At 38.4% G+C, this 26,923-nt stretch overlaps 1 protein-coding gene and 1 pseudogene across 20 annotated transcripts in view; one reads left to right on the top strand and one right to left on the bottom strand.

Annotated features, from left to right (window-relative positions):
* ENOX2 (ecto-NOX disulfide-thiol exchanger 2) overlaps window positions 1-26,923 on the top strand; it is a 280,885-nt gene that overhangs the window by 234,676 nt on the left and 19,286 nt on the right. For all 20 annotated transcript variants that reach the window (NM_001382521.1, NM_001281736.2, NM_001382520.1 and 17 more), the window contains 3 exons: window positions 792-1,004; window positions 2,785-2,891; window positions 11,839-11,953. In NM_001382521.1, coding sequence (NP_001369450.1) covers window positions 792-1,004; window positions 2,785-2,891; window positions 11,839-11,953 — 435 coding nt within the window. The remainder of the gene's footprint in view (window positions 1-791; window positions 1,005-2,784; window positions 2,892-11,838; window positions 11,954-26,923) is intronic.
* SPRING1P2 (SPRING1 pseudogene 2) lies at window positions 22,008-22,933 on the bottom strand (annotated as a pseudogene).

The following is a 26,923-nucleotide window of genomic DNA, read 5'->3' as shown; positions in this document are numbered from 1 at the left end:
CTGTGCTACTATCTTAACTAATCACAGAATAACTCCTAACTAGCTGCAGAAATCTACATGGAGGTTCTTCATGCAAGAGAAAAAAGGATGTGGAGAAATATAGAAATAAAATAAATTGCATCAAAATAGATTGTGAGTGGGACTGAGTGGAAGGCCTGGGGCTGTGGATTGAACACAGGAGTGATACTATAAAAGGTCGAAGATGTGCATGTTTGTATCTAAAGAATGACCTACTTAATTAACTCTTCCCTGAGGCTCCTCCCAACACTGTAATTCCATGGATCCAAGGTAAAGTTACTGTTAAATTCAAGTTAAACTCAGGATTCAAGTTTGCTTTTCCTCATTAAAACACAGGACTGTAGAATTCTGAAGTTCCCTCACTAATTCATGGTTTTTTCTGTCTCTCTGTCTCCCCTCTGCCCCCTTTCCCCCTTCTCTCTCTCTCTCTCTCTCTCTCACACACACACACACACACAATCAGAGAGGGTAAGAAATTTGCAATACATGAAACCTATATATCAGTACAGAAAACTTTTTTCAAGGAAACATTTCTCTTTCTGAAAATTCATCACAGACCACAACCAGTCTGACTACATTGATCCTTCCATTCTTCCTGTTTGTCTGCCTGCCTACTGCCTGTGTGTGCACATGTGTGTATGTGTGGCTCCTCATCCTCAGCAATTCATTTACCCATCACTGCCAAAAATCATGATGCCCTCTTTGCCAGCATGTTGGGAAAATAGATCAAAATTTGGTTACCTTTGTTGGTTATAAAAATATATTTTTTTCAGATGATTCCAAATTCTCAGAAGCTGTACAGACCTTGCTTACCTGGATAGAGCGAGGAGAGGTCAACCGTCGTAGCGCCAATAACTTCTACTCCATGATCCAGTCGGCCAACAGCCATGTCCGCCGCCTGGTGAACGAGAAAGCTGCCCATGAGAAAGATATGGAAGAAGCAAAGGAGAAGTTCAAGCAGGCCCTTTCTGGAATTCTCATTCAATGTGAGTGGAACTTAGAGTTCTGCTGGAATGAGAATAAGTCACTTCACTTAGTCACTTGCTCTCTATGGGAGCTCAGGCCTCCAGAGCCATCCTGTGTTAAGGCTCAAGGCTCCCTTTTTCACTGCCTTGTGCTCTCCTTATATTGTCAAATGCCCAAGCTCCAATTTCACAGGAGACATGTGCGCACCTGCTAGCTTCATTTTCTCTGGTATATCTACTTCAACTCCTTAGAAACACTGATCCTTAGGCCACATCCTATACTTCTACAGCCCTGGGCCTCAATAGAGGGCTGGGTATTTTATTGCTAAAGTTACGATGTAGCATCAGCATTTTAAAGCTGCTTTTCTTCAGATTTGTATAATTATCATCATGTAATATGCCTTCAAGAAACTCCATTTCAATGATCAATGTAATTATATTTCCCAAGGTGATTGGATAAAAATCAAATTTGCTACTTCTACATTTTTTATTTAGTTTACTTTCTTCTGCTACCTTTGCTGGATGTCATAGACACTGGGACAAGGTGAGAAGCTACCAAAATGGCCATTTTTAAAAAGAAATTCCGCTCCAAACCTATCTAAGGTCTCTGAAATGAGCCAGATCAGATAAATTATCAAGTAATTTTTTGTTTACCACATTATAAAATTATACACTCTTATTTTTTCAGTAAGAAAGTATATTCACCTTAAGAATAAGGGTATAATTTTATGATTTTGCTTTTAAACAATTATGGTCCACTCTTTCCAAACTTGACTTCCCTGTACTTGACTCATACATAATTGTGATTAAGGGGGAGTTGTTCCATTTGCCACTTGTATTTTGAAAGTATATATGGGCATAAAATCCAGGAGGCAAAAGCACATGTCTTCAGGACTTTAGGATAAATTTTTAAAAAGAGAAAGCAGCACGCATCATGGGACTATAAATCCTTAAGTCATTAGAAGACAGGGTGCAAACAGGGATGTAAAGAAAAAAAAAATAATACCTCTGGATTTTCTTACTGTGAACACCCAACCAGACAGGGGCTCTTGTCCTGCTTTTCTTTTCCCAAAGGAGTCATGTCTAAGCTTCCCCTCTCTTGAACTGTGATTAGGATAAAGCCCCAGAACATCTGCACACATTTCCCTGTTTGACATTTTAAGAGACCTTGAAAAATACTCTCTAGGACCGCACTTACACAGCATCCTTCCCTAAAACTTATATTTTTCCAGTCAACGAGTCTATCTTGGTAGACTTAAAAAAGATTCAATCCATCTTAGGTTTTGATTTGATGCTTCTTGTTAAACATACCTCAGAATAGTAAAAGCATGAATTCTGTTGAAGCAAGGCATCCAAGTGTGTGTCAGAGGGCTATGAAAGGAGCCAGGGGTAGAGAGTTTCTGGTACAGTTTGCCATTTTCTTCCATGCTGTGTGGAGTCACTAGTACTAAACTAAAGACAAGTACTAAATAAAAGTGCATTTGCTATGACTCTTCCTCTCCTGCCTCCATGAATTCACAATGCCTGTATTAAAACTCTAGTTGTTACCATTTTACCCCAAACCTCTGGTGTTCCCTTTTGTCTTTCTGTATGTTGATGTCTTTTCCTTTGCGTCTCCTTTAAAATCAAAGTACCCCAACACATGTAGCCTTTTCCAAGCACAACCACAGCTTAGTATAGTGTCATAACAACAAGATACAACAAGCCTGATGCTTCTCTTTTATTTCATTTCTTTTCTCCTCTCTTTTTCCATCCCTGGATGATACCCTGGCCTGATCCAACTGCTGATTTGATGCTGCAGTTGAGCAGATAGTGGCTGTGTACCATTCCGCCTCCAAGCAGAAGGCATGGGACCACTTCACAAAAGCCCAGCGGAAGAACATCAGCGTGTGGTGCAAACAAGCTGAGGTTGGTAACTTTTTATTCTGGTAGCCCCTTGGGGGGACAGTTTCTTTCGTTAACAAGTTATTGATCTGGAGTTTAGCCAGAATTAAATAGTGCCAAGCTCCCATGGTCACAATAAGGCCCTAATGAAACACTAAGATATGTTCTATAGCCTGTCACTGTGTCCAGACCACCTGCTGTCAAAAGGGTAATAAATGTGCTTGTGCTGTGGTGAATGCATTCTGCTGGATGGAAACCTTAGTAGTGAAAATGTAGCTGGGATAATTATAAGTTTACTTCTCTTAGCGAGCTAGTCTTGGGTACAACAATAATTACTGACCTGCGCTTCTAGTGTTAGTAATATTAGGGCTGTCTTACATTTTTTAGAGTGTCTTGACAGTGAAGGACGGAAGCCGCCTGGTGTTATACTGGATCTTTGAAATTTCTGAGCTTCTTTTATCAAATTCATTTAGTCATCTTTATAGGTGGAAGCTTTAAAGGTAACAGGACTCTGATCTTAGGTTAAGGTTGGCACACACCTCTCTGCTTATACTCAAGTGACATTTTTAGCATAACACTAGAATAAATGTGATGTGATTAGATTGCTCTTCTGCATCAAAGATTAAAAACTGAGATGGGAGATTTCACTGATCTGCCATTGAAAATCCTGTTACATATGCCTCAAGTCCTCCTATTCCTATGGGCAACTTCCTTACCAAGTCCCAATATTTTCAATTTATATATGCAGCAACTTTTCAACTACATTTCTGGTCCTCTTTGCCAGCCTGGTAGCAGTCCCATTATATCTATCCATGTAAATTGTCATATTCCTTAACTTTTAAATAGCATTTACAAGATATTTACATTTATAAAGTGCTTTCACATTGGTTATCTCACCTGTGTGAGCCTCACAGTAGACATGGTGAAGTGAAAAAAGTATTGAACTCAGAGCCAGACATGAATTCAAATCTCAGCTCTGACATGTTAGTGCTGTGTGACTGAGCAAGTTATTCAGCCTTTCTCAGCCTCTATTTCTTCACCTGTAAATTCGAGACAATAATGAAACCAGTCTTATAGGATGAGATGAGTTAGGAAATGTGTAAAAAGTTTGAAAAATAGAAATAGTATTACTTCAGTTTTTATTAACAGCTTCATAAGTGATAGTGAGTAGGTATAGATTTCATATTTTACCTGCAGGAAAACTGAAACGTAAAAATGTTAAGTGATTTACACAAAATTACAAAGCTAGCAAATGGACTAGAAATTATTCTCCTCACTGTGAGCTCTGGTACAAAATGCTTTGTGGTCTCGAGCTAGTTATTTAACCTTTGTGGATCTTTGTTTCTTAACCTATAAAATAAGGATAGTAATTTCTCTCTGTCCTTCACGAGAATACATGAGATATGTTTGTGTGAGAACAATTTGAAAACCATGAAAAGCATTTAGGAGAAAATAAGCCAAATCCTGTTTATAAACTGATAGTATCTGAGCCATCAATTCTGGCACGGCAAAGGGATCTGGGAGTCACTAGAAAGAAATCCCTGAAGACAGCCATCCAATGGGTTGGTAGAGTCACAAATAGCCAATAGCATCTTTACTTGTTTTTTAAAGAATTAGGGGAGAAAAGGAAACTATTATCTTACTGTAGCACAAAATGGTTTTAGAATCCTAGGGCTGCCTCATGTTGTTCACCTTCAACAAACAAAATTCAACTTTGTGATTCAGATGTTTACTGATCACTTTCTCCATCTCAAGCACTATGATAGGCAACATAGAATGAAATGATCTTTGCCCTCAGGGAGTTAGAAGGGTAATGAAAGTGATCAAGAGGAGGAGGGGAGTTTCACACGCTAAATTTAAAATATCCAGTCTTCAGTTCAGAAGAATAAAAGTCGAGAGAAAAATGCTCAGTAGGTCTTATGATTGTAGAAAAGCAGAATAGGCATTAAGTTTCTACCTTCCCTTTGATACACGTACACTTCTAACTCCTCTTTGGGTTAGAAGAAGTTGACTGAATGGCCCCACCCTTTAAGGAAAGCCGTGACAGTACATTGCCTTTTTGCAGGAGGAAGGGAGCCTCTGGTTGGAATGCTGATTTGCCTAGGTCACAATACTTTTTTTTTTTTTTTTTTTTTGGAGACGGAGTCTTGCTCTGTCGCCCAGGCTGGAGTGCAGTGGCGCGATCTCAGCTCATTGCAACTTCCGCCTCCTGGGTTCAAGTGATTCTCCTGCCTCAGCCTCCCAAGTAGCTGGGACTACAGGCACACGCCGCCATGCCTGGCTAATTTTTTGTATTTTAGTAGAGATGGGTTTTCACCATGTTGCCCAGGCTGGTCTTGAACTCCCGAGCTCAGGCAATCCGCCCACCTCGGCCTCCCAAAGTGCTAGGATTATAGGCGTGAGCCACCATGCCTGGCCGTCACAACACTTTTGCAAACTATGTGGCCATAAAATATTATCCATCAATCATATTCATCAAGGGTCTGTGTAGTTATTAGGTTGATACAAAAGTAATTGCAGTTTTTGCCATTAATATTTCAAGCCTACTTATCTAGCGGATATATACTTGAGTTTAATTAGACTCACAGTAGAGATAGCTGTACCAGTGAGCTGGACACTCCTTAGGACCTATAGAGAACTGAGATATTTGCACCCTATTGCCCAATATTGTAACAAAACTTCCTTGGCAGAGTGGTGATGATAAAGTACATGACCAGCATGACTTTCCAGGAGCTACATGTTTCATGCTGTGCCTTGTAGACTGTAGAAACCCCAAAAAATCCTTCCCGCTTGTTTGATTGAATTAAATTAAGGTCCACCTTGAATATCTCAAATCTTGTTCAGTACTACACCAGCTGAAAGTGGGACATAGCTCATAACCTTTCTCTGGTATTGCATTCCCTAAACCTAAAAGATCTCTTTCACTTTATATTGGTGCCTCTTTAAGTCATTGTTTTTGTTTTTATTTTTGTCCTTGTTTTTTTTTACCTCTGCAAACTTTTACTTGATAGCAGGCAACTGTGAGGACTGAAAGGAGGTATCCTGTGAGAAATAAATAAACCATCCTCTTAAATTGTGGCTGCCTCTTAGCACCCCTTGAAAATCAGAACATCTCAAAAACTTAATCAACTAGGCTGCCTTATTTTTGACCTAGGCATCCAAGCTACATAGAACTCATAAGCCAAGGGTTTCATCAAAGTGAGTTTCTGACGTTCAACCTTTTTACCAGTTGCATCTGAGAACAAGTCAACCAATGACCTCCTCATGTCACAAAGTGCCTGTTCCTTGTCTCATTGTCATCCTTCTACCAGCAGCCAACACGGTCTTACTCTGCTGAGAGAAAGGATGTGGAGTATGAAGAAAAAGTTTCCGCCTTTGGGGAGCTTAGACACTGACTTTGGTAGCATATGTCAAGCAAACTAGTTTGCTAATGAGTCTTTTTCATTGCTTTACGTTCCTGATTTATATGTGTGTGAGGTCCCTGCTAATACAACTGAAAACGGTATTAGGAGAAGGCTGAATGAAGTCCCTCCCCTTACTAAAAGTTGGTGTCTATAGTGACTTTACTGGCAGTTCTGTGTGTTGTGGGAACTCTTTTTCTACAGAATCACTTAAAACCTATGTGTTTCTCTCTAGCTGGCCTAGATTCAAAGCTAAAGCTTTGATAATGTGTAAAAACTAGAGCCATAACAATAAGCCCTAGGAGATATCCTCTTATATCCTCCCTCAGATGCGGTTTTACACCATGGGGCTAGAGGAAAAGGGACTTGGTGATTACTAGTATTCTTGTAAAATGAAATACTGTGATTGCTAAAATAACTTTCTTTATAGAATTACAGGCCTACCATTCCAAACTCTGAAGAACTGTTTGCAGATAGATATTCAAATAATCTGCATACCCTTGGTTTAGGACCTATCTGCACTAACACCGGCTGTTGGCCTTCAGCCATCAAAAAACATACTAACACAATTTGGATAAACCTAATTTGTATTTCCACTATGTATCATATAATAGACATTAATTAAGAACCTGAGTTTGTACTTTGCTTCATTATATTAAATGATATCTCAGAATCAAATTTCTACATAAGTGTAGAAGCTATCTCCCTATCCTCTGCTTTCCATTCCCTTGTCTGATCTCTTCTCCACCAATTTTCCTCTTAATGTTGAAAGTCTTAGGCTGGGCATGGTGGCTCATGCCTGTAATCTCAGTACTTTGGGAGGCTGACACAGGCAGATTGCTTGAGTTCAGGAGTTCGAGACCAGCTTGGGCAACATGGTAAAACCCCATCTCTACCAAAAATACAAAAATTAGCCAGGTGTGGTGGCCCACACCTGTGTTCCCAGCTACTTGGGAGGCTGAGGTGGGAAGATAGCTTGAGCCCAGTAGGTCAAGGCTGTAGTGAGCCATGATCACACCACTGCACTCCAGCCTGGGCAACAGAGCAAGACCCTGTTAAAAAAAAAAAAAAAGAAACTCTGGCTAAGTAGAATTTTGTTACACATTTATTAAGAAACTGATTTGTCTGGTAATCATGTTCCTATCATAAAACATGAATAAGATTAATTTAAATCCACATACATTTTTGTGAAACTATAGTTAGATAATTAATGTGTAACAATTTATGATTTGCTTACTTTATGATAAATCAAAAATGTCAGCTGGCACAGAAGTGGTTCTTTTCATGTATTTTCCTGTCTCCGATTTCAGTTTTATTCTATATGAAAGTACATTGTTCCCCATTATAGAGTAGTGTGTGAATTTCTAAGCTTCAGAAAAAGTTATCATTAGATCAGACTCAGTCATTATAATGTGTTTCCAGAAATCACTAACAGTTCATTGTTGAAATGAAAAATATCACAGATCTACTGTGGGCAGGAGAATGGTATAAAAACTTTAGGAGGGATATCTTACCTTTTTTGTTGTAGTCTACCAGTGATGTGACCCAGTCAATTTCAGGTAGAGATTTACAAATGCAAATTGCTGAAAAATGTTTCCACATGCCATCACCATTCTTTTGGTTTCAGCACTGGATTCAAAATGCCAGGATGGAAAATGGGGCAAATCTGGGAGACAGCTATTTCCTTTGCTGTCTGCTCTTCAGTGGCTCAGAGTTTTTCCCCTGCCTGCACCTATGTCCAAACTAGGTAGAATGCCTTCCTGGGGTTCATGTCACCTTTCAGCCCTTCACTCTGAAGGTATTTGTTAGGGTTTCCTTCCCAAAGTAGAGCTTTTCTGATCCAACCGGAGAATACAGAAGACAAGTAGCTCAGACATCAAGTGCTTTAAGGGAAAGATTTTCAAAGAATTAAAACCTCACTCCTTATTTTTAGGAGTACTGTCACTTACTAAATGTTCCCCATAAGCTTACTTTAGTATAGTACTCCATAACCTCTGCTGCTCTCTTTACCTTTTATCTCATTCGTGTGATATAGTATTGGGTATTTATAGAAGAATAATAATATGAGCCTGAGTTTCTTTGTAGCTAGAAAGGATTGTCTAGTGGGTAGGGGGCTCTGAGCTCTGCCAGTTTGCCTGCCTGACTGAACCACTTAGGGAAACATACCCCTTAGTTTTTCTTACCCTTACTTTATTATCAGTTAAAGCAACTGGTGATTCTTATTCCTGAAGTACTTTGAAACATTTAGGTAAAATTTGTTCATAGGTCTGTTATATTTCCAGGGATTTTTGAAGATGTGAAAGACTAGATAAGCTGTATCACATATTTTTTTAACTTTTTATGTTTCTAAGAAGAGATTACACTTTTTTGCCCAGCTGGAAGAAGAAAGATGTTTTGTGGATGCTGAAAAGCTAGAGGACATGTCTTAGCTCTCAGATATTCCTGCCCTGGGACATTTCCCTAGAAGGAACATATTTTACTCTTCTGAGAAACACAATAACTTTCTCAGGGTTATGTGACATGTTTGTGAATTGAGAGTTGGTCTCTGCTTATACTCTCCAATAGTCTACATTTTTGTTAGGCAACTAGAAAGCCATGACTTTTCCTAATGCGGTAAGTTGTACAATATTCGAATTTGCCAATGTCAAACTTCATTATAATCACCTTTCCGGTAACAGCTCTTTGATGATAACTGAAAATCAGACTCCTGAGATAGAATGAATTCTCAGAAATGAGAAATTCCTTTATTGTTCTCTGTGTAATAAGTTTGAATAAGACATAGCAAGTCTCTCTTGACACAGCCCTTTAAAGTTCATTTTTCTCAAGCAAGTCATTATTTTTTTCTATTTTAAGTAATGCCCCTGAAGCACATGGGAGAGTCTATGTTAGCATCTTCTTTTTCTATTCTTAACTATCAGTGATGATACTAAATAGCTCACTTTTTAAAAAAAGAGTCTTTTATTTATTTTTAGTGAAAACTTAACTTGAGATAGAAATCATTATTTTTCCTGATAAAATGAATAAAAAGGAGGATGTTGGTTGTGATAATGACTACACCATTAATTATTTAAAAATCCATTTGAAACACATATAATTCCCCTAAATGGAGGCAATTTTCACAGACAACTTCGGATATTTCCTGTGTACAGCCCAGTACAGGCTAATCCAAGCAAGGAATTCTCAGTTCAGTGCTGACAAGCCTCTGACAGGCATTAATTGGCCTCTAAATGATTGCAAGCTGCTTCAAAATGCACAGTTGTTGTGCTTACCTTTTTAAAGTGACTTTTATCATGGGATCTTAATCATTTTCAGTGTTCTTCATGCCTTCCTGAAGGTCTGTGTTTATATCCATTAGCACTTCCCTTCAGCCTGAAGAACTTTCTTCAGCATTTTCTATAGCATATTTCTATAGCGCAAGTCTATTGGTGATGAATTCTTGCATTTAATTTTGTCTGAAAATATACCTCAGCTTTATTCTTGAGAGAATTTGCCTCTGAATACAGAATTCTGAATAAATGGATATTTGTATTTCTTCATGAACTTTAAATATATTATTTCACTGACTTCTGGCCTTAAATTGTTTCTGAAGGAAGTCAAAGTATTCAAATTGTTGTTCCCCTCTGTATAATGTATTGCTTTTCTCTGGCTGCTTTCCAGAGTTTATCTTTAGCTTTCTGCTGTTTTAATATGATGTACTTTTTTCACACATATCCTGCTTGGGGTTCACTGAGCTCTTTGAATATGTAGATTAATGTCTTTCATCAAATTTCAGAAATTGCCAACCCTTATTTCTTCAAATCTTTTAAAATTATTTTCTTTCTCCTCTTTTTCTGCAATTTTATTTACATGTATCTTAGATCTTTGTAATCTCACAAGGTCCCAAGGCTCTGTTTTTTAAAAATATTTATCTTTCTCTGTGTTCTTCAGATTGGATACATTTGTTTTTCTCTCTCTTTAAGTTCTCTCATTATTCTGTCATCTCTATTCTACTTTTAGGCTCGTCTGGTTATTTTTATTTCAGGTATCATTTTCTAGCTGTAGAATCACCCAGATATGGTAGTTATCAGACGAGATTATAAAGCAGCTATTATAACGATTCTCAGTGATGTAAAAGAAATATGCTCATAATGAATGAAAAGATAGGAAATCTCAGCAGAGGAATAGAGATTTTTTTTAAAGAATGCTTGGTTCTTTTTATTTCCAGGCAAAAGAATCCTTGGTTCTTTTTATTTTCAGACAAAAGAACTCTTGGCTCCTTTTAAATGTTTCTATTCCTCTGCTGAGATTTTCTATCTTTTCATTCATTATAAACATATTTTCTTTACATCATGAGCACAGTTATATTAATAGCTGCTTTAGTTTCTTGTCTGTTAAATTACCACATCTAGGTGATTTCAGTGTTGGTCTCTGTTAATTGTCCTTTCTTTCGGAAATGGGCCATATCTTCCTAGTTTTTCTATGTCAAGTAATTTTGGGCTTTATCCTAGATATTACAGATATTATGTTGTGAAGACTCTGGATTATGCTATGTTCTTTCAAAGAATGTTGACTTTGTTTTCGTTTGTCGTAACGGTCAATTTACTTAGTTGGATTCAAGCTGGGAATTCTATCTCTTGGATGGCCAGCTCAGTTGTCATTTCAGTTATTTTAGCCTTAGCTGTGCTGTTGGGAATCTTCCTTGTGCTTTCTTGGCTTGGGTCTCATGCAGACATTTGAGCAGATCTTATATACAGAATTTAAAGTTCTTTCCCCCTGCCTCTATTGTCTCCTTTCTGGGATTCCCTTCTTACTTTCCAGTGGCTGTAACTGCCGTGAACTCTCCTTGAGTTCTTTAGGCCATAAAGACTATGGGCTTTCTATTAGAAATTTAGCCATCTTATGAGGTGCTAACTCTGGTCTACCTCAGACTAAATTGCCCTTTAAAAACTGAGAGACTCACCCTATGCTATTCCTTTCTTCCAAGTGTCAGCTTCTCTTCAGAATATGTCTGCTTTTGTTCACTCTCCAATGTCATCAAGTAGTTAATGGGTTTTGTTTTGTGTTTTGTCCAAAGATTATAGTTATTATCCATGGGAAGGTTGGTCTGGTAGAATATTACTCCTGAAAGCTCATCTTTGCTGTAACTTCTAAAACTACAAAAACTCAATTAAGAGTTATGTTGAGTAAAACTATAAAAAGACAGAGAAGAGAATGGCAAGCAGCAAAATTAAAGGGTCCAACGTGGGGAGGTGAAAATGGCAGAACCCTTAAGGGAAAGTCCACAAATCCATGTAAGAGGTAAAATGTCTTTCATGGCCAAAAATACTGTCTAATATGATAGGAATATAAGAATCATAGACTCCTGGAGCTCTGGGTCTGGAAAGAAAGCCTAATGCAAGACAGAGTATAACCAAGTCTGCTTTGTCTGAGACTGTTTTACTTTCAACATGCCTCTTTGCCTTAAGAGTATTTGGAGGATTTTTTTCCTAATATGTCAAAAAAAAATGCTGCTTTATCTTATCCTTAACTCCATTCATTTCCTCAACATTTTCAAGGAATTCCCACCTAAAAAGCATACTTTTTAACCTTAGGAAATTCGCAACATTCATAATGATGAATTAATGGGAATCAGGCGAGAAGAAGAAATGGAAATGTCTGATGATGAAATAGAAGAAATGACAGAAACAAAAGAAACTGAGGAATCAGGTAAAGATAATTCTGTTTTCTTTATTTAATAAACATGTACTTGCAGACATGATATTTTCAAACTTTTAATACCCAGTAAGGTATGGCCATCAACCTATCAGCCTGGATACCAGCTAGAAATAAGTGGCAAGGCCATATGTGTACATACTGGCTGATTATCAGCTCTGTGGCTACAGGATTTTCTGTGGTTTTCACTTATCCATACCTTGCATTGAAGTGCCTAATTAAAAGTGGACTTTCTTTTCCAAAAAGCGCTGGGCATTTAAGCAGCTGTAACCTAGTATAGTCAGAACCTCACTCTGAGACAGAGGCCGTGTTACAGGTCCTTAGTGGGACCCATAGGGCAAACTTTTTGAACAACAGATAATACCCTCCTCTTCAATTTCATAATAAACTATCTTGGATGGGAGAATTACCATTGCAGATAATAAAATATCCAGAAGACTACTCTTTTTAGGCAAACCATTCCAGACAATCTTAGGAGTCAGATTACAGGAAGGTACAGTGGAAAAGCCACTGGACCTAAAGTTGAAACACCTGAGTTCTAGTCCGAACTCTGTCCTTCTTGACCTAGGAGGGACTTCTTCCCCACTGAGCCTCAGCTTCCACACTTGTAAGGAGTACATTATAAAAACCATTTAACAGCCAGGCGCTGTGGCTCACGCCTGTAATCTCAGCACTTTGGGAGGCCGAGGTGGGTGGGGATCACCTGAGGTCAGGAGTTCGAGACCAGCCTGACCAAAATGGCGAAACCCCATCGCTACTAAAAATACAAAAAATTAGCTGGGTGTGGTAGTGCATGCCTGTTATCCCAGCTACTCGGGAGGCTGAGGCAGAAGAATCCCTTGAACCTGGGAGGCAGACATTGCAGTGAGCAGAGGTCGCACCATTGCACTCCAGCCTGGGCAACAAGACCAAAACTCTGCCTCAAAACAAACAAACAAAAAAACATCTAACAGGGATTTTGTGATGGTTAAATGAGTTCATTTATTTAATAACTATTACATGCTAAGCACTATACTAGAGATTGGAGATATAGTTGTATACTGTTCCTGCTGTGTGTGTGTACGTGTGTGTGCGTGTGTGTGTGTAAAAGAGACAGAGAGAGAGAGATTGTAATTCAAATCTGAATTTCCTGGTTCCAGTGCTTGTATAGTGAAGTCAGCAGCTCTATAGCCACTTGAGTGGTCTTAGAATTTTCACTCCATGAACAGAAACTCTGAAGGAAAGAAAAACATCAAGTCAGACTTTGAAAAAGATATTTATTAGCTATTACATCTGAATTTTTTCTATTTTTGCCATATGTTTGAACCCTAAACATACAAACTGCTATCTATATTGAATAAACCCTTTGTAATCAGTGGTTAGCTAGCATTTTCAGGATAGTCAACTAATTACTGCAAATAAATACTGTAAACTTATAGCCAAAATAAACACAGAGTTGAATAAGAATTGAACTATTCAAATTATTTAAGTGCTTAGCTAGGATGTTTTATAGCTGATTAATCTTTCACTTGTATGATTGTTTACACCTCAGTATCTACAGTATTGTACACAGTATTTAGTCAGTGTTACCATGAAATAAATGCTGCCATAAGTTTAAGCATCCACTTGATAAATTGCTGAGTTTGTGGAGTTATTGGAGGAGGAGAGGGGTATATGGGAGACTCAGATTGAATGCACTTACTAGAGTTATATAATTGCATTTTGCTTCTGTGTCTCTTTTGAGTTAAAAGCTGTATTGGCTACTGCACAGAATCTTATTCGTTTAGAGACTGGAAACTCCCTGACAGATCATCTTATAGCTATTTTCTTTCCTGTTCCACATGCCAGGATGCTGCTTTGGCAAATAAAGCTATCTACAATAGACTTAATGGAGCTTACCAAATAGCTTTTCTCCCAGAAGGTTTCAATTCATTTTAATTCAAGGACTTCTGTGCATTTTTCTTCCCCTCGATTGTATCTAATTCTGTTATCTCACTTCTGTAGTACTCAACTGCAGAAATCCCGCTCATTGTGAGCCAGTGAAAAGGTCTTCAGTTTTTATCTAAAGTGGCTACATGTTTTAGCTATCATTTGGTTCCAATTAAAAGCTTAAGCAACGAGATCTCAGAGTTGTTGTTGTTGTTTTTTTTTTTTCCCTCTGTCCATGCTACCAAACTTGAATTGTAGGAACCTATGGTATGTTTCTGGTTAGATTTTACTTCCTGAAGAAAGTAAAACCAGCCTAGAAGTCTCAGTTATCTTTCCTTGGAGTGCCACAAAATTTCTGTTATTTGAGAGACTCTATATTAGCCAGCCCATATTTGTGATGCAGTACTTTAAATACTCTTGCCATGGAAGAAAGGACTGATGTACACAAAGCAATCTATTGAAGAGGGACAATCACATCAAAGCAAATCATGATAGTGTAAAATTATTTCATTATCTTGTTAGCCATGATGGAAAGTACTGTACCCAGTAAACATAAGAAAAGCTCTTCCCTTTCAGCACCCATCTTCTGCTCTGTTTACTTAGACTAGTGGTTCTCAGACTTGGTATACTGAAGAATCATTTGGGTTACCTTTACAAATTCAGATGTCTAAGCTGCAGAATCTGATCCAATAGGTCTGTAATAGGGCTGAGGAATCTGCATTTTATCAGCCATCCTAAATGATTTCGATGCTGGTGGTCCAGGAAGCACATTTGGAAAACATGGACTTAGACTAATTCTCCTTCATTGTTCTGGCCAAAGTTTTCTGTTCCCTTAATATTAATCTAATCTCCTTCTTCCTTCCCCACCTCTTATTTTCCATTATTTCCACTTCAAGAGTTTGGCCAATTAATTAACAAGCACTATGTCCTATAAGCTGATGGAGATAGAGATATAAATATGTGTAAATCCACACAAAATTTTAGAAATACCACTTGCTGCTAACATGGAAGGTACTGATTAGAATGCAGCAGGGCAAGAGATATCAGGTGTGGGCCAGAGTTGTCACAGTCAGTGAAAAATTGATCAGGGCCTTGAAAGATGAACAGATTTAGATGATAGGAAGATAAGAAAGCATCTTGATGGTGGGGGGAAGGGAGGGAGTAAAAGGGTCGGGGCTCAAAGTGGGAAATAAGCATGATGTATATAGGGGACAAAAGACTGAGTAGAGTAGATGGGTCCAAATTATGGAGGGCTATGTATGCCAACCTTAGATTTCGCATAGTAAGCAATATGCCACTATAAGCACATCTTGTCTGTGGCGCTAATATGATGAAAGCAACATGAATTATACATTTTAAAAGATAATCTTCAATTAAGAGAGTCTAACCAGATACTTTTACAGGAAGTGAGATGTAAAATGCTGAAGGGTGGGACCGGAGTGAAGGCAAGAGGAACTGAGACAAAAATGGTAGAAGAAAAGGAGGCAATGGATTGAATGAGATTAAAGATGCTAGGAGTCATTTTCGAGGAATATACCTAAGTCTTTAGTGCCAGATTGGATACAGATGATTAAGAAAAGGAAAAAGCCAGGAATGAGTCTGTGTTTTCTAGTCTGAGAGACTGGAGACCTGTTGATTGTATTGGTTCACTAGAGATGTCATAACAAAGTACCACAAAGTGGGTGGCTTAAATGACGGAAATGTATTGTCTCACAGTTCTGGAAGCTAGAAGTCTGAGATCAAGATTTCAGTAGGGTTAGTTCCTTGTGAGGGAGAATCTATTGCATTCCTGTCTCCTAGTTTCTGGTCATTTTCCAGCAATCTTTGATGTTCCTTGTCTGGTAGATGCATCATCCCAATCTCTGTCTTCATGTTTACATGGTGTTCTCCCTGTGTGCATGCCTGTTTCTATGTCCAAATTTCCTCTGTCAATAAGGATACCAATCATATCAAGTTAGGACCCATCATAATGACCTCATTGTAATTTGACTACCTCGTAAAGAACCTGTTTCCAAATAAGCCAGATTCTGAGAGCTTCAACATATCTTTTTTGAGAGGACACAATTCAAACCATAACAGTAGAACTGACAGAAATGGACTGATGGATGGGACTGATTTGCGGAATATGATGAGATGAACTGCAGATAGTAGATCATTGAGAAATGGGCAGAAGGGGTTTGTATTCAAATTAGAGTTGAAGAAACTAGAAGGAATAGTAGATGGTAGTGTAGAGGTATCGGCTGAAGCCCTGAGAAAATTATTAAATGAATATGAAAGACAAGTGAAAGAAGAGCAAAAGGTTGGATACAGAATTTGGGGGACTATCCACAATAAGGGAGAAGGAAAGAAAGAGGAGTTTGCAGAGGAGTTAGAAAAAAGCAGTTCTGAGAGGCTGGAAGAAAACTAGAAACGAATTGGGTTGTGGAAACCAAGAAAAGTTTTTATAGAAGTAAGTAGTCATTGACATTAACAGATGTTACAAAGAAAATCGGAATTGAGAGAAACAATGCTGGGCAAGAGCTATTTTAGTAGAGTGATAGAGGTAGGGGCCAGAATACATGACATTAGTAAAATAAAGTAAACAAAGACCATAGATCAAGAAGTTGGGTACTAAGCAAAAGGAAATATGGATATTATAAATGGCAACTAGAATCGATAAAGTTAAGGGTTTTTGTTGTTGTTGTTGTTGTTCAATAAAAAGGAAGGAGGCAATGGAGAGTATGAGATTGAAGATGCTAGAAAATAAAAGAATACTATGGAAGTGGAATCTTTGAAAGAAGAAAGGGAAGGGATCCATATTCAAGTAGCGTTTACTTTAGAGAGGAGAGAGCCCTCTTTCTCTGAGACAAGAGAGGGGAAGCTGAAAGAATATAGGTAGCCCAGGCTTCTCCATATACTAAGAGATTGTTTATTCATCACAAAAATGATTTGGAAATGAGACCACGAGGAGAAGGGAACCGATTTGGAATAAATGCTATGGGCAGTATGGAAGGAAGAAATCAGTGAGAGGTGAGAGACCCATCAGCAAGGGCCAACATGAGTGTGTATTGATGTAGCTGCCTAGCTCTGCAACTTCCTATAAGAGTTCTCTGTGGCCCAGGATAAGAGAGAGTGGAGTCAAGTGACTGTGAGTTGGGGATTGGCATGGTAAGCCTGGCCAGAGGTTTTCAGGAAGCTGAAGCAATACAAGGCACTGAGGAGGTTGCACTGGGATCTATTCAGCCAGAAAGCAGCTAATGAACTAGCTTAGTGAACTTGGCCACTCCGTGAGATTAAAGATCCCAGCAAGGAAAGAGAGCAGTCTTGGGGTGATGAGAGGCAGTGAGGAAAATGGTAGATGAGGATTCTGTGTTTGAGATGGGAATTTAGAGATGTAAGAGGGGTAACAATGAGGTTCCAGGTGCATCCATGCTGACAGAAGCCTGGTTGGAATGGTGACAATAACCTGTAGAGGCAAGGGAAAGCAAGGCATTGTGAGGTCAGGAAACCCACTTGAGATTTTTTGCCTGAGCTGACCTGCAGCCACCCCAATAGGTCTTATTCATATCATTTCCTGCTCTTTCTTCCCACTCTTTGTTCTTTTTAGCTTTTTCCCTTTGTGAATCACCTCAGCTCAAACTTTCTTATTAGCCTTGAGAGAAATGTTACCCATTCTTCCTTCCATAATTTTGTAACATTTTTAGCATCTCCTGTAATTAAGCTTTAAAAGGGTGGCTGACTCCCTGAATTTACTTCTACTAATTTTTTTTTCTTGTTTTCTTTGTACCATTGAAGAGACTCAGGCACTAATTTTTTAATGGCACAAAATCATTTTTGATCTTTTGTTGTACAGAAACATGTCTGGGATTTTGCTGTTAGTGGCTCCGCTAAAAAGAGGAGTTCACAGCTGCCTTCATACTTTCATATTGCCATGATGAACTGGCAGCCTTCAGATCTGAGGAACAATTGTCATAAAGAGAAACATTTTCCCCACATAGGAAATAGCCAAAAAGGAGAAGCCAAGAACTAATGATGGCAGGATATGAATACATTCACTGTACTATGCTCTTTAGTATCAGGACTGATGGATTCACCTACTCAAACATATTATTAAAAGGTAATATTGAACTTTTCAATGTTCTGGCAATGTACAAAGAACTTCAGCTTCAGAAATGGGCCCAATTAATATTAAGTCTGTGAAAGGAAAGACTTGGTGTCCTCATTAAAATGACAAAAACCCCTCATTTCAGAGAGTGGGAAATATATTTTGTAGGTAAGGTCCCCTCAGTAGCATTACAGGTGATCACATTCTTTCACTTGGTGACAGGTCCAAACTGAGAAGATTATTATCTGCTCCCACTTTGCTGCAGGTATCCATCACTGCTCATCAGCATGCCCTTTCCCCCAGGACAAAAACAGTCTCTCCTCCTCATTTTCTCAGAGGGAAAATATTTTTACATTTAAACTGGAGAATACGCCTCTAATCATTCTCCTAGATCTCTGCCCTTTTCTCTTCCATGTATCTCCGTGTGACATGTAGAACATGAGCATAATTACTGGCCTGCAGTACAAGAAGAAATAAAAGGAGGAAAATGAAATATCACTATTTTGTATTGAGCCATGTGGACTGCCAGAGGACAAACATGCAAACCAAAACAGAAATTAATAATTGTTAATCTGTAGGAGTCACTTGATTTACAGAGTAACCTGTGTACTATTCAGCCAAACTCCAGCTCAAGATGCTGTCCTTGGTACTCACCCTGCAAGCAAACCAAATATTTCTTCCTCTGTTTGGCAGATAGTTAATATGCCTTTTTCTATAGAGTTTTGTATATAAAAATCATCTTCACTCATAGTATCTTCTTTTGATGTTGTGGTTGTTAGTGCTTGTCTGATGAAAAGTATCCCAGCCACTGGAAGAGATGGCAAGGATAGATATTATTTGGAGTGCTTGGAATCCAAGAGACACAAAATCTGCATAACAACAAGAATTAAAATTAATAATAAAACCAATCATAAAATGAATATGTCATGCCAAAGATCTTTTTATAAGTCTTTAAAACTAAAATGCAAGTTTTAAAACTGCTGTATCAGGATCATTGCATGGCCATCCGCAGAAAACAAATGTGGATGCTAAGAACACCTCAACAACACTAGTAGAAGATACTTCTAACCAGAACCCTTCATATTACGTTGCCACTTTCTGCTTTGGATAGACCATCTGACCACAGCAGCCTACATCAGTACATACTAGTTTTAGGAAAACCCCCATGTTCAAGGAGTTGAATTAAACCCAGCACCTCTCTAAAGGCAGCTTCCTTTTAGGAGTACAGAATGTTTTCACGCTAATGTGGATTTTTTTTTTTTTTGTATATACTTGTCTTAGTCCATTTTATGTTGCTATAAAGGAATACCTAAGACTAAGTAATTTATAAAGAAAAAAGGTTTATTTGACTTACAATTCCGAAGGCTGGAAAATTCAAGATTGAGTATTTGCATCTGGTAAGAGCCTCAAGCTGCTTCCACTCATGGCAGAAGGTGAAGGGGAGCCAGTGTAGGCAGAGATCATATGGTGAGAGAGGAAGCAAGAGGAGAGGGGAGGTGTCAGGCTTTTTTTTTTTTTTTTTTTTTTTTTTTTTTTTTTGATATGGAGTCTCCCACTGTCACCAGGCTGGTGTGCTGTGGCGCGATCTTGGCTCACTGCAACCTCTGACTCCCTGGTTCAAGTGATTCTCCTGCCTCAGCCTCCCGAGTAGCTGGGATTACAGGCACATGCCACCACACCCAGCTAATTTTTGTATTTTTAGTAGAGACGGGGTTTCATGTTGGCCAGAATGGTCTCAATCTCCTGACCTCGTGACCCACCAGCCTCGGCCTCCCAAAGTGCTGGGATCACAAGCATGAGCCACCAAGCCCGGCCAGGCTCTTTTTAACAACTAATAGAGTGAGAATGCACCCCCCTTCCCAGGGAGGGCATTAATCTATTCATGAGGGATCCACCCTTATGACCCAAACACCTCCCACTAGGCCCAACACCACCACATTAGGGATAAAATTTCAATATGCATTTTGCTGAAGAAAAATAAATCATAACCAAACCACAGCAATATTTCATCTTGGTAATGCACAAGTTCTTTCCATTCATTATGTAGAGGATGAGTCTTCTCTTTGAAATTCCTTTAGATAAAACCTTCTTTCACCATTTATAGCTAATAATTTTAATTGTTTAATTCCTTCTTTTTTTTTTTGGAGACGGAGTTTCGCTCTTGTTGCCCAGGCTGGAGTGCAATGGTGCCATCTCAGCTCACCACAACCTCTGCCTCCTGGGTTCAAGGGATTCTCCTGCCTCAGCCTCCCGAGTAGCTGGGATTACAGGCATGCACCACCATACCCGGCTAATTTTGTATTTTTAGTAGAGACAGGTTTCTCTATGTTGGTCAGGCTGGTCTCAAACTCCCAACCTCAGGCCTCCCAAAGTGCTGGGATTACAGGTGTGAGCCACTGCACCCAGCCAGTTTAATTTCTATCACTTTTCTTTTACTTTCTCCTACCCAAAGTTCTTCCCTATAGGTAATCAAGAAAATTCATATCTTTGTCAAATTGCCTTTTAACTTTCTTATACATTTAATATACAGATTGTAAATTTGATCCATTTTTTTATTTTTATTTTTTCACGTCAGAGTTTGATTTAGTCCTGCTGCAAACACACAGAATCTGAAATGTTTAATGCAAATGGAATAGATTTCTTGAGATCTAATATTTTTAAAATTGCCTGACAACTTACCATCTAAGAAAACTTATTTAAGGGAGGCAAATTATTTTGGGAGATGAGTATAAGAGGTAGTAGTAGGAAGTTAAGGAAATATTGCAGAAATGTATTGGAAGACAAATATGCCCAAAGAAAAAGCTCCACTGAAAAAAAAAATATTGAATTCTGACCATAGAACTAGCACCCTGCTCCCAGGTCAATAATTTCAACAAAAAAAAATAAATAAAAAAGACCTTGCTCAATCCTGAGGTTAGTGAAGGAATATAGGAGAGTTGTGTTAATGTGACTACTGAAATCAAAGAGCAGTACTATTCAAAGGGAATGATGTCTTGATCTTAGGATCAAATATGCTAGACCTTGAATCAGAGAATCTGCATTACAGTAGAAAAATGGGGAGTGCTTTATGCACGTGGATTCAGGGCACACCAGCAACCTACACATGCAGCATTCTCTAAGCCATAATGACCATTCTCATCTCCCACTCAGGGTAGGAGTAAGACTCTTCTCTTGCAGCACTCTAATAAGTTGGGTTTCTTCTTCTTCCTTGCAAATAATAGGGAAACTAAACATTTATACCTATTGCGCCCCCAAAGCTGAAAGCAATAAAGAATGAACACATACAGCAAGCTGTTAGGTACATCTCTGTTTAGGAATTGCCTCAACATTGGGTTTCTATTGACAGAACAGAAGAAGTTGCCTCTGATCTTCCTGAGGCTCCCATTGTACCCTGGCTTAGCAGCCCACAGTTAATTTTAAGTGGCAAAAGAAAATTTCTCCAGGATGAGAAGTTAGATTTCTACTAAAACAGTGCTCTCCATAGGGTATATGAGCACATTCAACTGTCACTAGAAAAGAAACTGAGGGAGGACACACAGTGCCCACTGCTAGAAATCTTGCAGTTAGATTAGAATGGAAGAGTGTCTGAGTTTTTAGATAATTTTAGACATCAGGATATGGCTAACAGGTTATGTTCAGGGCCTACGCTTGATACTGTCGAAATACAAACAAAAATAACTGCCTAGAGAGAACATCCATGTCCTAAAAGACAAAACATTTTATCTGGGTGAAGGGATGACTTAACTCGTGAAACTTGAAAACACAGAACAACAACAAAAATAATTTCCTTGAACATATTCAACTAGAAGGGCAAGGCATTTTCCTACATAAAACATTATAATTTTCCCACTACTCCAAAGGAATCCAATAAATAATTTTACAGTGAAAAGCCCTGGATCAAACCTAGAAGTGACACCAGTCCCCAACGAACACAAGTCACAGGTCCCTGTGCAGGTCTCAGGGTGGAGTCATGCAAGAACGCCAACACTGCCATGAGCCTGGCCTGCGGTTTCATCTTTCCCAAATGGGACCAGCTGGAGGGTCCAAGCTGCTTTACAGAAGAGTTCTATCTGGTAAGCCCAGGTCGTGAATGAAGCCAAAGATGACAACACAAGAAGTGGTCAAAGCCAAGGTTTCCTAACGCTGCCTTTGTCTTCTTCCCACGGCCTGGCCTGAGTGCTGAAGCTGGGCCCCAGGAGGGGAGTTCTTCAGTGGGGCCTCCTCACCCAGGCTGGAGTAAGTCCACTGGCCTGTCATGCAGGGAAGAGCTCTGGCAGGCTTTCTCAGTAGGAGTACTTTGCTATGGGGTCCCAGTAGGTGTTCTCATGCTGCAGTCTCTGGGATGAGGTCCTGCATTTGACCAGGCACAATTCCAAGTGATCTTTGACTGCCATGGAGAGGTTCTGGAATGCCACAGCTGCTTGATTGAGGAAGTGCTCCAGGAGAAGTTGCTTGCTGGGCTGCAGGCAGCAGGAGACACAGTACTCAGCAGCCATTTGGCCAGCAGCCATCGCAGCAGTACTGCTTTGTGCTAGGGACGTTGACGTTACAGCAGCCATTCACCAGCAAATCCTTCCTCTCACAAACGTAGCTGAGTTCATCCGTGATGAGGTGTTTCCCTTGAATGGAGTTGTGGCACTGATTGCTGGGACGACTGCTATTGCCCAAGTTAAACTACACTTTCCACGGGATGGGCTGATCATGGTCTTGAACCTGCAGGGGATTCCTCTCTCTCACTGCCCTCTCCTCCTGCCTGGAGGTGGTGCTGAGGAAGTAGACAAGCGACAGCCCAAAGACCAGGACGAGAACCCACCTCTTCCGCAGAAGCCGGCGCCACACCATGGCTGCTAGGTTCACCATCCCAGCGTGGATGTGGGGCGCGGCTGCTGGGGCATGAAACGCAGCAGGCCCAGCCCTTAGGTGCTGGGCAGCCCCATCCCTCCAGGCGGGCGCGGGCCCCATGGCCTGCGGCCCAGTCTGCTTTGATCCATTTTAAAAATGTCTCTTTTTCTGGGTTTTGTGTTCTGTTAGTAATCAAAAAAGGTATAAACTACAAATGTTTCCATTAATTTGGCATGTAAACAATAGAAACTAGTGGGATCATATTTTTTAAACCATAGTCATAAGCCTGAAACTTGATTTTCTAAATTGTATTTCCTGGACTACATTGAAACTAGTGTTATTGACCTCTTTAATACCTATGGAAAACCCACCATAATTATTTGGTTCTCATTAAAAATAAGGTTGAGGAGACGGCTCAAAATAAAAGCCTTGCCTTTTTATCTAATTTATGTCTACCCTTACACAATTTTTTGCTTTCCACTTCATTCTACCTTTCATTCTAAAGGTACTAAATGAATGTTTGTTGAGTGAATGAAATCTTCTGATTAAATATTTTGAAATAGGCTTTATGATTTTTGAACTTGAAAAATGTGACCTAAACCATAAATAATTACATATAACCTAAGTTTCCTTCATTTTTTAAATTAATAAGTTTCTTTTTTAGAGCAGTTTACATTCACAGCAAAATTGTACGGAAAGTTGAGAGTTTCCGTATAATCTCTGTCCCTATAAAAGCACAGTATCCCCCACTATCAACATCCTTCACCAAAATGGTACATTTTGTTACAATTGATTATAATTTGTTACTATTGATGAACCTACATTAACATATCATCATTACCTAAAGTTTATAGTTTACATTAGGGTTCATTCTTGGTCTTGCATGTTCTTTGGGTTTTGAAAAATTTAAAATGGTATGTATCCATCACTGTAATATCATACAGAATAGTTTCACTGCCCTAAAATCCTCTGTGGTCCACCTTTTCATCCCTTCCTCCTCACTAATCACTGGCAATGACTAATCTTTTTACTATCTCCAGTAAAAAGTTTTGTCTTTTCCAGAATATTATATAGTTGTAATCCTATAGTATGTAGCCTTTTCAGATTGGCTTTTTTCACTTAGTAATATGCATTTAATTTTCTTTCATGTCTTTTCATGGCTTGATGGCTCATTTCTTTTTAGCACTGAATAATATTCCATTGTCTGGATGTACCATAGTTTATTTATCCATTCACTTACTGAAGGACATCTTGATTGCTTCCAACTTTTAGCAATTATGAATAAAGCTGCTGTAAACATCCATGTGCAGATTTTTGTGTGGACACAAGTTTTTAGTTCATTTGGATAAATGCTAAGGAGCATGATTGCTGGATGGTATGGTAAGAGTATGTTTAGTTTTGTAAGAAACTGACAAAATGTCTGCTTACTTTGGATTTGTTTAATTTGTTCTTCTTGTTTTAGTTTCCTAAGGTAAAAGCTTAGATTATTAGTGTTAGAACTTTCTTTATGTCTAATAGATGGATTAAATGCTATAAATTGCCCACGTAAGTACTGCTTTCACTGCATTTCACAAATTTTAATAATTTGTATTTTCATTTTCATTTATTTTAAAATACTTGTAAATTTTTCTTGAGATTTCTTTTTTAATCTATGTGTTACTTATAAGTATACTATTCAAGTTCCATGTATTTGGGGAATTTCCAGCTATCTTTCTGTTACTGATTTCTAATTTAGTTCCACTGTGATCTGAGAACATACATTGTAAAATTTCTCTTCTTTTACTTTTTAAGGTGTGCTTTATGGCCCATAATGTGGTCTCTCTTGGTTAAACTTCCATGTGAGCTTGAGAAGAATGTGTAATCTGCTTTTATTAGATGAAATAGTCTATACATGGTAATTATATACAGTGGTTTGATGGTGGTGTTGAGTTCAACTGTGTCATTACTGATTTCTGTTTGCTGGATCTGTCCATTTCTGATAGAAGGGAGCTAAACTCTCCAACTGTAATAGTAGATTCATGTATTTCTCCTTGCAGTCGTATCAGTTATTCACTTGTGTATTCTAATGCTCTGTTATTAGGCTCACAAACAGTATTGGTATGTCTTCTTGGAGTATTAACCCCTTCAATAGTATGCAATGCTCCTCTTACTCCCTGATAAATTTCATTGCTCTGAAATCAGCTCTGTCTGAAATTAATATAGCCACTTCCACTTTCTTTTAATTAGTGTTAAAATGGTATATCTTTCTCCATCTTTTTCCTTTTTATCTATATGCACCCTTATATTTAAAGCAGATTTCTTGTAGGCAACCTATGGTTGGGTCTTATTTTTTAATCCACACTGACATCTGTCTTTTAATTGGCATACTTAGATCAATAATTTTTTAACTGATTATTGATATAGTTGGATAAATATCTACCATGTTTGTTGCTGTTTTCTTTTGGTTACCCTTGTTTTTTGTTTCTTTTGTCTTCTCCATTGTTCTGCCTTTTGTATTTTTAATTGAACATATTATATTATTCCACATTTTTCTCCTTTATCATATCATTTATACTTTTTTTCACATTTTTTAATGGTTTCCCTAGATTATATACATTTACAATTAATTCAACCCCACTTTCAAATAACACTATACCATTTCATGGGTACTGCAAGTATCTTATAATAGCAAAATGCTCCTGATTCTCCCCTTCCATTTCTTGTATCATTGCTGTCATTTATTTAACTTGTCCATAAGCATACATAAATGCATACAGGAATACCTCACCTCACCTCACAGATATTACAGGTTCCATTTCAGACCGCTGCAATAAAGCTAATATTGCAATAAAGCACTCTATATGAATTATTTGGTTTCCCAGTTCATATAAAAGTTAAGTCTACATTATACTGTAGTCTTTTAAGCAAATGCCTAAAAAACAATTTACATACCTTAATTTTAAAAGACTGTATTGCTAAAAAAAATGTGTTAACTATCATCTGAGCCTTCAGCAAGTTGTAATCTTTTTTGCTGGGGGAGAATTTTGCCTTTATGTGGATGGCTTCTGACTGATCAGGTTGGAGGTTGCTGAAGGTTGATGTGACTGTGGCAATTTCTTCAAGTAAGACAATAATGTATACTATATCAATTGACTCTTCTTTTCATTAAAGATTTATCTGTAGTATGTAATGCTGTTTGATAGCATTTTACCCACAGTAGAACTTTTTTCAAAATCGAAGTCAGTCCTCTCAAACCCCATAACTGCTTTATCAACTGAATTTATGAAATATTCTAAATCCTTTTTTGTCATTTCAACAATGTTCACAGCATCTTCATCAGGAATAGATTCCATCTCAAGAAACCATTTTCTTTGCTCATCCATAGGAAGCAACTCCTTGTTCATTAAACTTTTATCAGGAGGCTCCAGCAATTCAATCCATATCTTTAGGCTCCACTTCTAATTCTAGATGTCTTGCTATTCCCTCCACATCTGCCATTACTTCCTCCACTGAAGTCTTGAACTCCTGAAATTCATCAGTGAGAATTGAAGTCAACTCCCAAACTCCTGTTAATGTTGATACTTTGACCTCCTCCCCAGAATCATGAACATTCTTAATGGCATCATGAATCCTTTCCAGAAGGTTTCCAATCTACTTTACACAGATCCATCAGAGGAACCACTATCTATGGCAACTATAGCCTTATGAAATGATTTTTTAAAATAATAAGACTTGAAAGTCAGAATGACTTCTTGATCCACAGGCTACGGTATGGATGTTGTGTTAATAGGTGTGAAGACAACATTTGTCTCCTTGTACTTCTCCATCAATATTCTTGGGTGACTAGGTGCATTGTCAACAGCAGTAATATTTTGAAAGGAATATTCTTTTCTGAGTAGTAGGTCTCAACAGTGGGCCTAAGATATTTGGTAAACCATACTGTAAACAGATGTGCTGTCACCCAGACTTTGTTGTTCCGTTTCTAAAGCACAGGAAGAGTAGATTTAGCATAATTCTCTCTTTTTTTTTTTTTTTTTTTTTTTGGAGATGGAGTTTCACTCTTGTTGCCCAGGATGGAGTGCAATGGCACAATCTCAGCTCACTGCAACCTCCACCTCCCAGATTCAAACGATTATCCTGCCTCAGCCTCC

This window comes from Homo sapiens, chromosome X (assembly GCF_000001405.40).
Source record: "Homo sapiens chromosome X, GRCh38.p14 Primary Assembly".
In the NCBI taxonomy this organism is placed as follows: Eukaryota; Metazoa; Chordata; class Mammalia; order Primates; family Hominidae; genus Homo; species Homo sapiens.
Note: the sequence above shows the minus strand (reverse complement) of the source record. Positions and strands in the feature narration are given on the sequence as shown.